The sequence below is a fragment of the Homo sapiens genome, chromosome 6, assembly GCF_000001405.40.
Source record: "Homo sapiens chromosome 6, GRCh38.p14 Primary Assembly".
Lineage (NCBI taxonomy): Eukaryota > Metazoa > Chordata > Mammalia > Primates > Hominidae > Homo > Homo sapiens.
In genome coordinates, this window is record NC_000006.12 from 131,199,919 (window position 1) to 131,213,570 (window position 13,652).

General features: G+C 37.6%; 1 protein-coding gene across 23 annotated transcripts in view, besides 2 other annotated features; it reads left to right on the plus strand.

The window, feature by feature from the left end:
- Positions 1-13,652, plus strand: part of AKAP7 (A-kinase anchoring protein 7) — a 157,906-nt gene that overhangs the window by 74,292 nt on the left and 69,962 nt on the right. For 3 of the 23 annotated variants that reach the window (NR_170716.1, XM_047419569.1, XM_017011507.2), the window contains exon 7: positions 409-571. The exons of 18 other annotated variants lie outside the window; for them this stretch is intronic. Coding sequence is in view for 3 of the 5 variants with exons in the window: in XM_047419569.1 (XP_047275525.1) it covers positions 409-531 (123 nt within the window). In the remaining 2 variants the exon portion in view is untranslated. Of the gene's footprint in view, positions 1-408; positions 572-951; positions 7,436-13,652 lie in introns of those variants that run through there. 2 more of the 23 variants (NR_164834.1, XM_047419570.1) reach the window with 2 other exon arrangements.
- Positions 22-71: an enhancer, noted in NCBI's record as "active region_25064". NCBI's record gives its function as "activates an Ori minimal core promoter by ATAC-STARR-seq in GM12878 lymphoblastoid cells {active_cell/tissue: GM12878}" and the evidence as "EXISTENCE:reporter gene assay evidence [ECO:0000049][PMID:35858748]".
- Positions 122-221: an enhancer, noted in NCBI's record as "active region_25065". NCBI's record gives its function as "activates an Ori minimal core promoter by ATAC-STARR-seq in GM12878 lymphoblastoid cells {active_cell/tissue: GM12878}" and the evidence as "EXISTENCE:reporter gene assay evidence [ECO:0000049][PMID:35858748]".

The window sequence follows — 13,652 nt, forward strand, 5'->3', positions numbered from 1 at the left end:
TCTCAAAGCTTCCTCTGCTGGCCTGTTACGCTGGTGCTGCTCACCGCAACTGGGTAAGCTTTTTTTACCCCTCTTCCTGTCGCTCTTCAAGGTTTCCAAAAGACCATCTTTCAGCAGTTGCCTCAATTAAGGCCTTGGAACCAGGTATACCGGGGACTGGGCATGAGGGTAACTGAGGGACCCCCTTTCCTGGAGGTACTTTAAAGTACTTCTCCCTAAGGATGGTCAACCCAGTGGCACAATCCAAGTGACAAGTCTTTTGACTTCCCCTGTCTCAGGGTGACTTACTGCCTTTATAGGCCACCCCTTCTTCCCGCAGAAGTCGGAGCAACTTTTGACTTCCGTCTAGGTTCATGAGCATTTCTCCTAAAATCCTAAGGCCACCCTTCATTTTGTTTCCTATTTCAGCCTAGGGGGTTCCTCATGCAAATTCAGACATCTGATGGCCTGCTCTCATATACCAGAGTTTTGGAGATGGGCATGCAGATTAATATCCGCTCCCTGCTCTCCATGACCCTTTGCTGCAGTTAAGACTGATTTGCAGCTCTAGAAATGAAGGCCATGTGTAGTAGTAAGTAGAATTTTTTTTTTCTAAATTTGCCACATTTTGTATTTAATGTCTCTGTCCTCAGAAAAGTCTTTTGGGCCCTTTAAATCATGGGTTTGGGTGACTCACCATCCTATAGTTAAGAGTTTTCTACAAACTATTGCTGAAAATCTCAGAAAGATATCTTGCATGGTTTTTTGGATTACATTGCCACAAATTTAGTAATATCCATATTAGGTATCATTCCAGTATCATATTAGGTATGTTAGGTAAAAATAATTGGTGTAAATGATAGATTTTGAAATATGGGATGACAACAATTTACAAAACTTGTAGACTGACAGTTTGATTCTTTACTGGTTATCTTTCTTGTTTTGCTTTCAAATGGATTGTCCTCTTCCAAGTGGTTTCAAACTTAATCACAGAATGACAATCAGTGGTGAAGGTAATATCTCCGTTTCAAAATGTTTCTTTGTCTTTATAATATTAACTTTGAAATGAGAGCACCCAAGGACATTTATTTAAAAAAATGCTTAAACTATATATGTCAACATTTCAAACTGCATTTAAATGATTTATTGGCAGTTAATTTCACAGAATCAATCTTACCCTATAGAAAAGTAATATGAGACTTGGAATGGTTGTGATGTAACTGAGATCACAGTCTTATCAGTTACAGAGCACTGTCTCTGCACCTGAGAAACCCATCCCATCTCATTCTGTCTCACATTCTTCCCTCCCACTGGCCAGCTCCAGTTCACGCAGAGTCATTTCTACGTGTAAGGAGCTCCCTGTTCCAAATCATATTAATTAAGTAAATATGTATTGAGTGCCTACTATGTGCCAGACACTGGGTGCTGGGCACAGAGTGGTGATCAAAATAGAAACAGTCACTGCTTGAATGGTACATAAAATCTAAATCAGATTGCATTTTATTTAGATTAGAATGCTTAATATTTAGAAAACAAATTATGATTGTTTTTTTCTTGTAAATTTGTTTGAGTTCCTTGTAGATTCTGCATATTAGCCCTTTGTCAGATGAGTAGGTTGTGAAAATTTTCTCCTATTTTGTAGGTTGCCTGTTCACTCTGATGGTAGTTTCTTTTGCTGTGCAGAAGCTCTTTAGTTTAATTAGATCCCATTTGTCAATTTTGGCTTTTGTTGCCATTGCTTTTGGTGTTTTAGACATGAAGTCCTTGCCCATGCCTATGTCCTGAATGGTAATGCCTAGGTTTTCTTCTAGGGCTTTTATGGTTTTAGGTCTAATGTTTAAGTCTTTAATCCATCTTGAATTAATTTTTGTATAAGGTGTAAGGAAGGGATCCAGTTTCAGCTTTCTACATATGGCTAGCCAGTTTTCCCAGCACCATTTATTAAATAGGGAATCGTTTCCCCATTGCTTGTTTTTCTCAGGTTTGTCAAAGATCAGATAGTTGTAGATATGCAGCGTTATCAACAAACAACCCTATCAAAAAGTGGGTGAAGGACATGAACAGGCACTTCTCAAAAGAAGACATTTATGCAGCCAAAAAACACATGAAAAAATGGTCACCATCACTGGCCATCAGAGAAATGCAAATCAAAACCACAATGAGATACATCTCACACCAGTTAGAATGGCAGTCATTAAAAAGTCAGGAAACAACAGGTGCTGGAGAGGATGTGGAGAAATAGGAACACTTTTACACTGTTGGTGGGACTGTAAACTAGTTCAACCATTGTGGAAGTCAGTGTGGCCATTCCTCAGGGATCTAGAACTAGAAATACCATTTGACCCAGCCATCCCATTACTGGGTATATACCCAAAGGACTATAAATCATGCTGCTATAAAGACACGTGCACACATATGTTTATTGCGGCACTATTCACAATAGCAAAGACTTGGAACCAACCCAAATGTCCAACAATGATAGACTGGATTAAGAAAATGTGGCACATATACACCATGGAATACTATGCAGCCATAAAAAATGATAAGTTCATGTCCTTTGTAGGGACATGGATGAAATTGGAAATCATCATTCTCAGTAAACTATCGCAAGGACAAAAAACCAAACACTGCAGGTTCTCACTCCTAGGTGGGAATTGAACAATGAGAACACGTGGACACAGGAAGGGGAACATCACACGCTGGGGACTGTTGTGGGATGGGGGAGGGGGGAGGGATAGCTTTAGGAGATATACCTAACGCTAAATGACGAGTTAATGGGTGCAGCACACCAGCATGGCACATGTATACATATGTAACTAACCTGCACATTGTGCACATGTACCCTAAAACTTAAAGTATAATAATAATAAAATAAAATAAAATAAAGAAAACAAATTATGATATTATCATTTTCAGTAAGCCAAATAAGAATTTTTTATTTTAATTTATGGAATGAGTCTATTCCTATCACTATTATAGTGGTCAGTGTTCCTGAAAGTTTAAGGAAGTAGATCTTAGATATGGGGATTCGCAAGTCAGCCGGCGTACTGGTTGAAGCTTCAGATTTCCACCCTCTACCCTTAGATTTAGAGATGGACCTAGGACCTAAGCTTTTGATGTTCAGTAAATGCCATATATGGTTCTGATACAGATGATCTGCAGAGGAATATACTTAAGACCTGCAGGCTTAAATAAATATCCAACAGTTTCTTATGCAGCAAATCTACTGTAAAGGTTAAAACCAGTATGAAAAGGTGGCATACATACAAGATGATTTCATTTATTTACTTTACTATAATTCGTGGTTTGGTATGTAGATTATTTGAAAATATATGGTTCCTTAGTCTCAGTCTTAACGTTTTTACATTTCCAGCTATCTATTTTCTTCTCTCGGCACTAATTTTCTTCTAGATTTTTGTTCTGAATCCATCCATTGAGCTAATGTCACAAGCAAGTGACCATTAAATAAAGATGATCGTGGAATGTATTGCTGGCTTTCCATGTTATTTAGATTGATAGTGAAATAAAAGAAGGGAGTGGCGAAATAATAGTTTTTTTTTAATCCACTTGCATGTTAGGAGATTGGACTCATTTCACGTATGTTATTCTTTATTTAAAAAGTTACTTTAATTATAAAATTATTAGCTGAATATATGCTTACTGTAAACAATTCAAATACTTACAGACCTATAGAGTGAAAGGTAGAGTTACTCCCTCATTACCATCCTGCAACCCACTTCCTCCCAACAGAATGTCTCTCTAGGTAAACACTGCCAGTAGATCCTTCCAGACCTTTTCCTATGTGCTGCAAATATATATGGACATACATACATGCATATAGTTTCTTTAAAACAGAAATAAAACTCTCAATATTATTTTGATTTATCATAATTTAAACATTCTTCTGTTGATGAATAATTAGGTTGATTTCTGTTTCTTTGGTACCACAAACAATGCTGTTATGAACTTCCTTGTTCACTTTTCTTTGGGTGGATATGCCAGTATTTCAAAGAACCAATTCTTTGAAGTGGAATTCTAAGAGCAGAGGGTATTAGACATTATAAACCTTCAGAAATACCTCAGATTGCCTTGTCAAGCAATAGTGACAATTTATACTCCCAACCGTGGTGTATGAGAAGAACATTTGTTAGGATAAACTCGTGGTAGAAAGACTATCAGAGGTCATATAAAATTGATATGGCCCTTTGAGCTATGAATTATGCAACTGACATTAAAAAAATGTTAAAAATCTCATTTTCTTTAAGATGTCCTAGCTGCTGATATTATTCTAAAGAAATAATTTAAAAAGAGAAGTTCTTTATGCATAAAGATGTTTACTGAAGTATTATCAATAATAGGGAAATAATAGAAATAACTCCCACAACAATAGGGAAATGTTTAAGTCAATTATGGTAAATCATATAAATGATATAAGCAGCTACTGAAGTAGATATAAGGATTCTATAACAGCATACAAAGTAAATAAAATACTATACTCTTTAGTATATAAAATCTATCCTATAAAATGTATACTGTAATTAAAATTGTATAAAATGGTTTCCTTGGGTTTGCCTTGCCAGCACCTTAATGTGTTTCATCGCATTTTAGAGGTAAAAAGTGGCTTCCCACAGTTACTCTCTTAGCCCATGATTTTTCCGGTAGATCAGTGAATAGAACTGACCTTAATGTCACTCAGAATATAGTATATCCCCCTTGACATGCTGAGGATTCCCATTTTGGTTTGCTGGGGTTCTGAGGAATGGTGGGACCTTGGTGAGTGGAGTGTAATAAGAAGTGGTGATGAGCAAAGTTAGGTGCCCCATGACAATGCAGGAGTGAGGGGCAGCCACCGGATTCAGAAAACCTGAAGATTTTCCATTGTCATGGGAGTGGTCCTTCAGTTTCTGGTATGGAGGGGTGGTGTATAGTGAGACTGTCTGGAAAAGAGCTAAATGATATCTCCTGTTGAGATGCTCTGTTTTAAAGACTGAAGCCAGATGGTGTCCTCCTTATATTTCAATTTGACCTGCTAGAGGGTAGTCTGGAAATGATTTTATGTATGATACTGATGCACTGAAAGTACTGATGCACTAAAAGCACCTAAAGTACTGGTGCTACTGTTGTCAGGGTAGACATGATGATTGTTGGTAAAAAGGGGTGTGCTGTGTAGAGGAATGCTCTGGATTATTACAGGAAATATTATAGGAAAATTCTGAGATAGTAAGATAGCCGGTCCATTCATTATTGTCTATAGGAGGTATAATGCGATATTCTGTAGTGATAAACCAATTGAGATTTTTTTTTAATCATCTAGTCATTGTCATTTAAAAAGTAACCTGAAAAGCTGTTACCCATGTCAACTTAAAAAATTAGATTCAAAGTCAGAGCTATCATCAGTCTGTTTATGAAGGTAAAACATCTCATTGACATTAAAGATGTGGACAGATGGCTGGTGCAGGGGATGAGCATTCACCCCCTGGGAGGTCGTACAGATCTAGTGTGAGGGTTTCCCAGTGGTGTTCAGTATTTGGTGCAGAAGTCCCTGGGCTTCCGGGGTCCTGTCCTCTGGTAGGCACTTGTTGGCAGGTAATTGCATGTAGTAGTAGTAACCAAAAGCCCAGTGGGGAACTAAACATTCAATATATTGTGTTCAAAATTTTGAAAATACAGAAACTCTCTCTCAAATGTCCTGATGTGAAACTTCTTCTGTGACAGCATGATATTCTGGTTCCCAAGTTAGAGAGCTGAGTTGAGGCTAAGGACAGATTCTGTGAAACATAAGGCTTTTCTTGGCAATTATGTATCTTTCTAACACCAGGAGACATTTAGTCAATGTGTCAGCTTTGCATATTCTTAGTTTCATGAAATTCTAATGGGTATTTTGCATAATAAAACATCAAAAGGAATCATTATCATTGTATTCTGTAATTTTTTTCATCAAATGAAACCTCAGAAAATCATATTAAATTACTGTCTCTGAAATAGTAACTAAAGTTCAGGTTATTTGTAGTTTTTTCAGAATTTAGTTGACATAGCTAGTCCGCTAACTTGTTCAGCCTCATGCTTTTTGTACGGTATCTTTTTGGACTTATTTTTCTTACTGAATGAACTTGGGTTTCAGTGATTTCAATGTTGCAAATCTTGGTTGGTTAGAAATATGTGCTAACACTTGATGGCAGAAGAAGACAAGTTTCAAATCAAACAAACATCTTAATGCAGATCTCAAAAAATAAATGTGATAACATCCTCAAAAAATAAATGTGATCGCCTAATGTATAGATCAGTTGTTTTTAATCACAAATTATTTTCTGGGCTTCTTAGGTATCTTCCCTGATTTATGACTCTTTCAAATTACTACTGTAGCTCTTAAACTGACAAAGACATGTTTTATGAACATGACACCTCTTTGCAGCAGTGTTTTACAGAGTCAGAAAATGAGAGTACTTTAGAATGAAAAAAATGAACTTTGAAAATTATTAGCGACTTTCACTTAGACTGGTTTGTTTTGAGGGCAGAATTCAAGATGCAAAAAGTAAGGGCTGAAGGGTGATCATTGGACCTGATGATGATGATGATGTTGAGGGGAGTGGAGAAGAGGATATAGGACAGTCATTGGTAGGAATGGAAAAGGAGAGCATATGGTTGAAAATTTTGTTCTGATGCTACCATTAAGAGGAAATTCCAGTTCCTGAATTGTTTGGTGATTGAATATACAGAACTAGAATTGTAATGGAAAGTTTCTATACTAGGTTGGTTGAATTCAGCCTTACTCTGCATCCCTCCCTAACTGTGAGCCCTGATGTCATCTTTCTTCACTCACTACCATTATTTACTTCTATCTATCTAGCTACCTAGCTAGCTGTCTGTCTGTCTGTCTGTCCATCCATCCATCTATCTATCTATCTATCTATCTCTGCATATTTTTTCAGGATTTTGTTAACTGGGCCTGGTATAGTTTGACTGCCACTCACTTTTGGGGGTCTGCATGACAGTGAGCTTTTATAAACCATGTTAAAACTCAGGAGCATTAAGACTATTCCTTCTTAAAGGAATCCCTGTAGTAATTTAAAGGAGCATGAGCTTTCCTGTTTTAGCCCTGTTGTTTAGTCCTGGACAAAATCACATAACCTCTCTCGATCTCTGTTGACTTATCGTAAAAGAAGGACTCTTGACTCCTGTGCTATCCTGAAATGTCTATAAGGTAAACAGTTTGACCAAATTGCTTAATTTGGCTTCACACAGTTATATATATTTTTAACCTCATATTGGCTTTCTTTTCTGTGTGGAAGGAGAATGACAGAAAGAAGAAAGGTCTTCAAGTACTGATAGGAAGATAGGGGCAATTTAGATCTGAATCTTTTCACTTGTCCTCCTAGAAGCCAGATGGAGCAACAAGGACAATGGGAAAAATACTCTACACATTTTTTTTTTTTTTTGAAAGAACTAGGATCTCACTTGGTTGCCCAGACCTAGAGTTCATGGCATGATCATAGCTGATCGCAGCCTCCAAATCCTGGGCTCAAATGATCCTCCTGCCTCAGCCTCCTGAGTAGCTGGGACTACAGGTGTGCACACCATGCCTGGCTAATTAAAATTTTTTTTTTTTTTTTTTTTTTTTTTAGATATGGGGTGTTGCTATGTTGCCCAGGCTGGTCTTGAACTCCTGGCCTTAAACGATCCTCACACCTTGGCCTCCCATAGTGTTGGGATTACAGATGTGAGCAACTGCACCCAGCCACATACTACATCTTTAGTGAAACTGAGAGGTAGAGAAATCCTGTCAATACCAAATTATGTGGAAGTGCTGGTGGTAGAGGCCCTCCTGACCTGGGAGACAGAATAGGCAAGGGCTCTACATTTTAAAGAATATTCCTTCATTCTAACAAAGGAGAGGCACAGAGAAGCCTGGAGACTACCCTGCCACTTCCTTCCTTCATCCCACAAAGAGGGCATTTGTAGATGCCCTGGTTATTCAGTGAACCTTGATTATTCCAGACAAAACTTTAAAAATATCTTTGGTGCAAGATAAAGCAGATTGTTTCTGTAAACTATTTTTGAATCTCCCGGTGTCAGATGGCTTAATTACTCACAGTTTTTAGTTGTTTTTGAGTCACTTTTCATATTTCCAAGTACATTAAACAGCAAATCTCTTTGTTTTAATGGCTTTTTAACACTAAAAATTCAGTGAATTCTCATGAGGTAGAATGTAATTTCTTCTGAGATACTCTAGATTACATTAGTCAACACTGTCATCTACTGTGTGTTAAAGAGCACTATTTATAACAAGTGCCTTCACTTATGTTTCTAATGTATTTTTCAACTTTATGCTGTTGTATTGTCTATTTCTGTATATTGAAAAAAAACAAGTTTACAATTGTTTAACAATTGGAAATGATGTTTACAAAGGTAAACCTGCTTAACATTCATTTGGAATCTTTCAGTACTTTGTATGTCTTTAAAAATTGAGAAACAGTAAACAGAATGCTAAATTATTTTATGGGAAATTCTAGAAATTGACTAAAGTCAGGATTACAAATGATTCCTGGTTGATCTTGATTCTGTTAGAGATTTTGACAACTTTGAAAACCCTGGAAGAAATGACTGGTGAACCTAATATTAAATCTTCAAAGTGGAATGGAGATTTGAAGCAAGTATCTTCAATAGCATTTTCTGAGATTTTTCTTTCTGAATATCTGTCAGGGTTTTATGTGAGGCAGGGATCTGTGATCCAATGAATGTTAGCAATGATGGGTTAAGTAAAGTTAATCAAATTCTTTATGTCAGAACTTCTTAGGTTCTCTGAAATGCAAATGCTTATTGTGAATCTCAAGAGCTTACAACAACAGAGATTCTTTTTTTCCCCCCATGTTAATGGATCCTCTGGCTCTGCTCCACATTGTCTTTACTCAGGACCGTGGCTGGGCAGCCTCCATCTAGGACTTTTCTGCTCTTCTGGCAAAAGGAAAGAGAGTTGGTGAACATGCTGATTCTTAAAGCTTTTGCTAAGAAGTGACACACATCATTTCTGATCATATTTTATTGGCCAAAGCAAGTCACATGGTTCCTTCTGAGTGTAACAGAGCAGGATATATAATTTGCTTCCAGGAAGGTACACCACAGGTGGGGCAGAAAATATTTTGAACAGTTGTATAGTCTACTCAGCATTGTTTCCCAACCAGACCAGCAAGTCCTTTTTCCACTGACTGTTTTGTAGCCATTAGTATTTGGTAGAACATGGCTTAGGAAATGCTGATTTGATAATTCCAGCTTAAGTGATTTTTTTTTTTGTTAAACATATAGATTCTGTGGACATATTTATTTTCCAGCAGTTGCATCTACAGATAAGCATCTGATTTTTTTTTTGTTTGTTTGAGATGGAGTCTCGCTCTGACTCCCAGGCTGGAGTGCAGTGGTGCGATCTCGGCTCATTACAAGTTCTGCCTCCTGGGTTCACGCCATTCTCCTGCCTCAGCCTCCTGAATAGCTGGGACTACAGGTGCCCGCCACCATGCCCGGCTAATTTTTTGTATTTTTAGTAGAGACGGGATTTCACCATGTTAGCCAGGATGGTCTGGATCTCCTGACCTTGTGATCCACCCGCCTCGGCCTCCCAAAGTGCTGGGATTACAAGCGTGAGCCACCACACCCAGCCCGATAAACTTCTGATTTAAGTGTAATTGAAGAAACAGAGTTTTAGAACTTATATTAAAAGATGCAGTATCAGAGTATTCAAGTTAATTAAAATTGCATGTGTTTGCCTTAATTATATTAAATATAAAAATTCTATCTCAAAGATTACCGTTAGTTATGGGAAAAATGTTTTTCTCAGCGAGTCGTTTTTAGACATTTTGAAACTTCTGTCAGCTGGTAATTTTCATTTTCTTAGTCAAGGACAAAGTGGAACATCATGAAAATATAGGCAACTGGCAAGTCCCACAGTGGATTGATTATGGGTAAAGACAAAATAGAATATATGGTCAAGAAAACCTAAGATTTTATTCCAAAATGGTGTTGATGCAGAACTATTTACCTTGTTTAGTAAGTGACAGCTAATTACTGACCCACTCAAATGGTCACATAAAAGCAAACCAGCTGGAATTATTTGGATGGCAAGAAGATTTTCTGTCACTGGAAAGATTGGCCAACCAACTCTTATTAAAATAATTAACTGCATAGTGAAAGAAGGTAAAGCTGTATTCTTCTTGAGGGACTCAGATATGAGAAGGAATTAAGGTTGCAATCCAAAACCATAACTAGTTTATATCAGAATTATACTTCCATTTCTACATATGAGCTGGTTTATTTTGACCATCAGAATCTTACTCTCTCAAGGAAAGATACCTTAAAAATAGAATAATACTGGTTCTTCAAAATACTAAACCAGTTCAGTTCTCTTTCAATTGGTTACTCTAGTAAATTAAAAGACAAAAAGGTTGTTGGCCTCTTTGCCAGGGCCAATCCTCACTTTATCTGTAGTTGAGGACCTAACAGAACTTACTCATATCATCTTAGGGACTAGCCACCCTTGGCTACAGGAATTCCAGTTTTGTTCCTACAGGAGGTGTTCTATTTCTAAACCCTACTGATGGCAGTATATTTAACTGTTGGCCAGGTTTGTGACACCATTTTGGAGATCCATCTTTAAGGCCTTTCAGTGCAACTGTATCTTTATACTGTCCCTAAGCTGAAGACCAGAGTATGAAACTACCTCTCTTCCTTCCTTGGGGATTGCCTTCCCCACAGCTGGATCTAATTATAATAATTTGTTGTGTAACTTTATTTAGAGCAGAATATTTCTTTCACAGTAATTTCCGGTTTGGTCTCCAGCACTACTGTGGGATTTTCATTGGCCATTCATTACCTGGGAGAATGTTCCTTGTGACTCCCTGTAGTGATCCTGCACCTTTGGCAACAGCCTCTCCCTAATCTTACCCATTCCATGTTTCACGACTTGGTCCCCTTGGATCCCACCTTGCTCTTCACCCTCCCTGACCTACCCTGACAATCAGAAAATGGTAAACTTTGTGCTCTTGGACTTCCAGGCCAAATATCTCTAGAATTTAATTTACCAGGGAGTGGTCACTTGGGAATAAGCTGAATGGATAGGGAAATCAAATCAAACGTACTTCTCAACAGGTGGTAACTTTTCCATCACACATATATCCTTATTGGCAGGTACCTAAGATGTACAAAGTGGGTATGTGATGGACATGGAGAAGATGGTGTCGTTTGGCTTGTTAAGCTTTCTGGGGTCTGTGTGAGCAATGGTAGCACCCAGTGGGTATAGCAAAAGGGGAATATGCCAGTGTATATAATTTTTTGCATTCTATTATCTTAAGATACAAAATCCTTGTCTTTTGTCAATTTTTTCTTTTCCTGCCCCACTCACTGCTTTTTTTATTAGTCTTGAAGTGCTTCTCAAAATTTGGAAAATATTCTTTCTTAATTTTTGAAATCTCTAAAAGAAAAGGCTGGGTGGAAATTACTGACTGGTTTGATGCCTATTTTAACTGTACTTTTAAAAAGCAAATCTAATGTTTATAGATACAGGCTGACTCTGAGTGCATTAGGAAATTTATGTAATCCAGATGGGCGCGGTGGCTCACGCCTGTAATCCCAGCACTTTGGGAGGCTGAGGTGGGCGGATCACGAGGTCAGGAGATTGAGACCATCCTGGCTAATACGGTGAAACCCCATCTCTACTAAAAAAAAAAAAATGCAAAAAATTAGCCAGGTATGGTGGCGGACACCTGTAGTCCCAGCTGCTTGGGAGGCTGAGGCAGGGGAATGGCGAGAACCCGGGAGACGGAGGTTGCAGTGAGCCGAGATCACGCCACTGCACTCCAGCCTGGGAGACAGAGTGAGACTCCGTCTCAAAAAAAAAAAAAAAAAAAAAGAAAGAAAATTTATGTAATCCCTGTAATTCTATACAGATGTTCCTCAGTTTATGATAGGGTTACATTCTGATAAGCCCATCATAAATTGAACAAGTTGTAAGTTAAAAATGCATTTAATACATTTACCTTATCAAACCTGATAGCCTAGCCTAGCCTACCTAAATGTGCTCAGAACACTTACATTAGCCTACAGTTGGGCAAAATCATCTAACACAAAACCCATTTTATAGTAAAGTGTTGCATATCTCATGTAAGCTATTGAATATTGCACTGAAAGTGAAAAAACAATGGTTGTGTTAGTACTCGAAGTATGGGTTCTACTGAATGCATGTTGCTTTCACACGTCGTAAAGTTGAAATATCATATGTTGAATCATCCTAAGTCAGGGACGATCTGTATTTTAAAGTAAACAAGGGGAAATTTCACAATTAAATGTTTAAGTTTGAAATGTGGGCAAGGTTCCGGTTGAATGTTATATAAAAATTATTTTACATAGCCATGTGTGTCATACTTAGAAAGTCTTTGTTTACATTTCTTGCTCTATCTGGAGAGAAACATTCATTTTAAAATTGGTTTAAGGGCTACACATGATTCTTGGGTCATATGTTTAATGACTGTTCCATATTTAGCTATTGTTTTTTTCCCATCAGACTCCCTTATATCTGTTACGATGTCCAGGGAACAGTTCCAAACCAAATAAGGTGAAAGGCTTGTATCATTGAGCACCTTTCTTCCTTGTTCCATTTCCTAAGTTATAGGGGTGTCAATGTAAATCGCAATGCCACTATGTCTTTCCCATTTCTTCACCCAGTTCTTGTAACATTCAGTTGTTGGAGTCCTTCCTCTGTTAGACAGGGGCATCTTTTCTAAGTAGTATGCAGGGAATACTCCTGGGTAGTTAGGCAGAGTAAGAGGCTGAGTTAGGTTAAGTAAGGTATCCTATTGAGAATGATGTTGGGGGTTAGAATGAGGGGGAGAAAAGTGAGAAGGAAGAATGTTGATGGGAAAAGAGTCTAGGAAATTGATTAGTTCATAAGAAAGTGAGAAAAGTAGAAAGTACCAGGTACATGGGGCAGGAGGATCTGGGAAAATGCTTTAGGTCTTTCTTATTTAAAGTTACAAGGCTACAATTAGTGATGTCTGTGGATGCATTTAAAATGTTTTGAGAGTGTACAGTCTCTTGTACACTGTCTAGGGACAGTATTTAGCTCTCATTTGAATGGTATCTGAGGTACAGTTATGTCTGAAGTTCTATCTTTTGATAACATAATCAGCTGAGGTGAGTGGTTCCATACTTTTGACCTCTAAGCTATAAAAGCACAACACATTCTACCATGATATAAATATGTTGCAATACATAGGCCAGTGTTATGTGGCAAGTTAAAGTTAGGATTTTTCTGTGAACTTATTTCTGAATGATTTTCTACCAAACAGCCCCATTCTCCTGCTTCAGTGTTGACGTTTTTTATACCAGTGAATTTTTTATACTGAGAATTTTTTATACTGAGAATTTTTTATACCAGTGGCTTACTGGCATTAATTACTTAGTGTTAGAAAGTATTGATTAGAAGGAAAAAGCTATTGCATTGAAAGAAGGAAACATAATAGATTAAGTTGTAAGTGTATGTGGGAGATTGTTTTATTTTTGATGTATGGAAATAAATGGTTAAGTTGCTAAGTTCAGAACATGTACCAAAGAGCAAAACATTAGGAAAACAGATGATAGGAAGGAGGAGGAGGCTGTAGCTTGTTACATTCGAGTGACCACAAGACTGT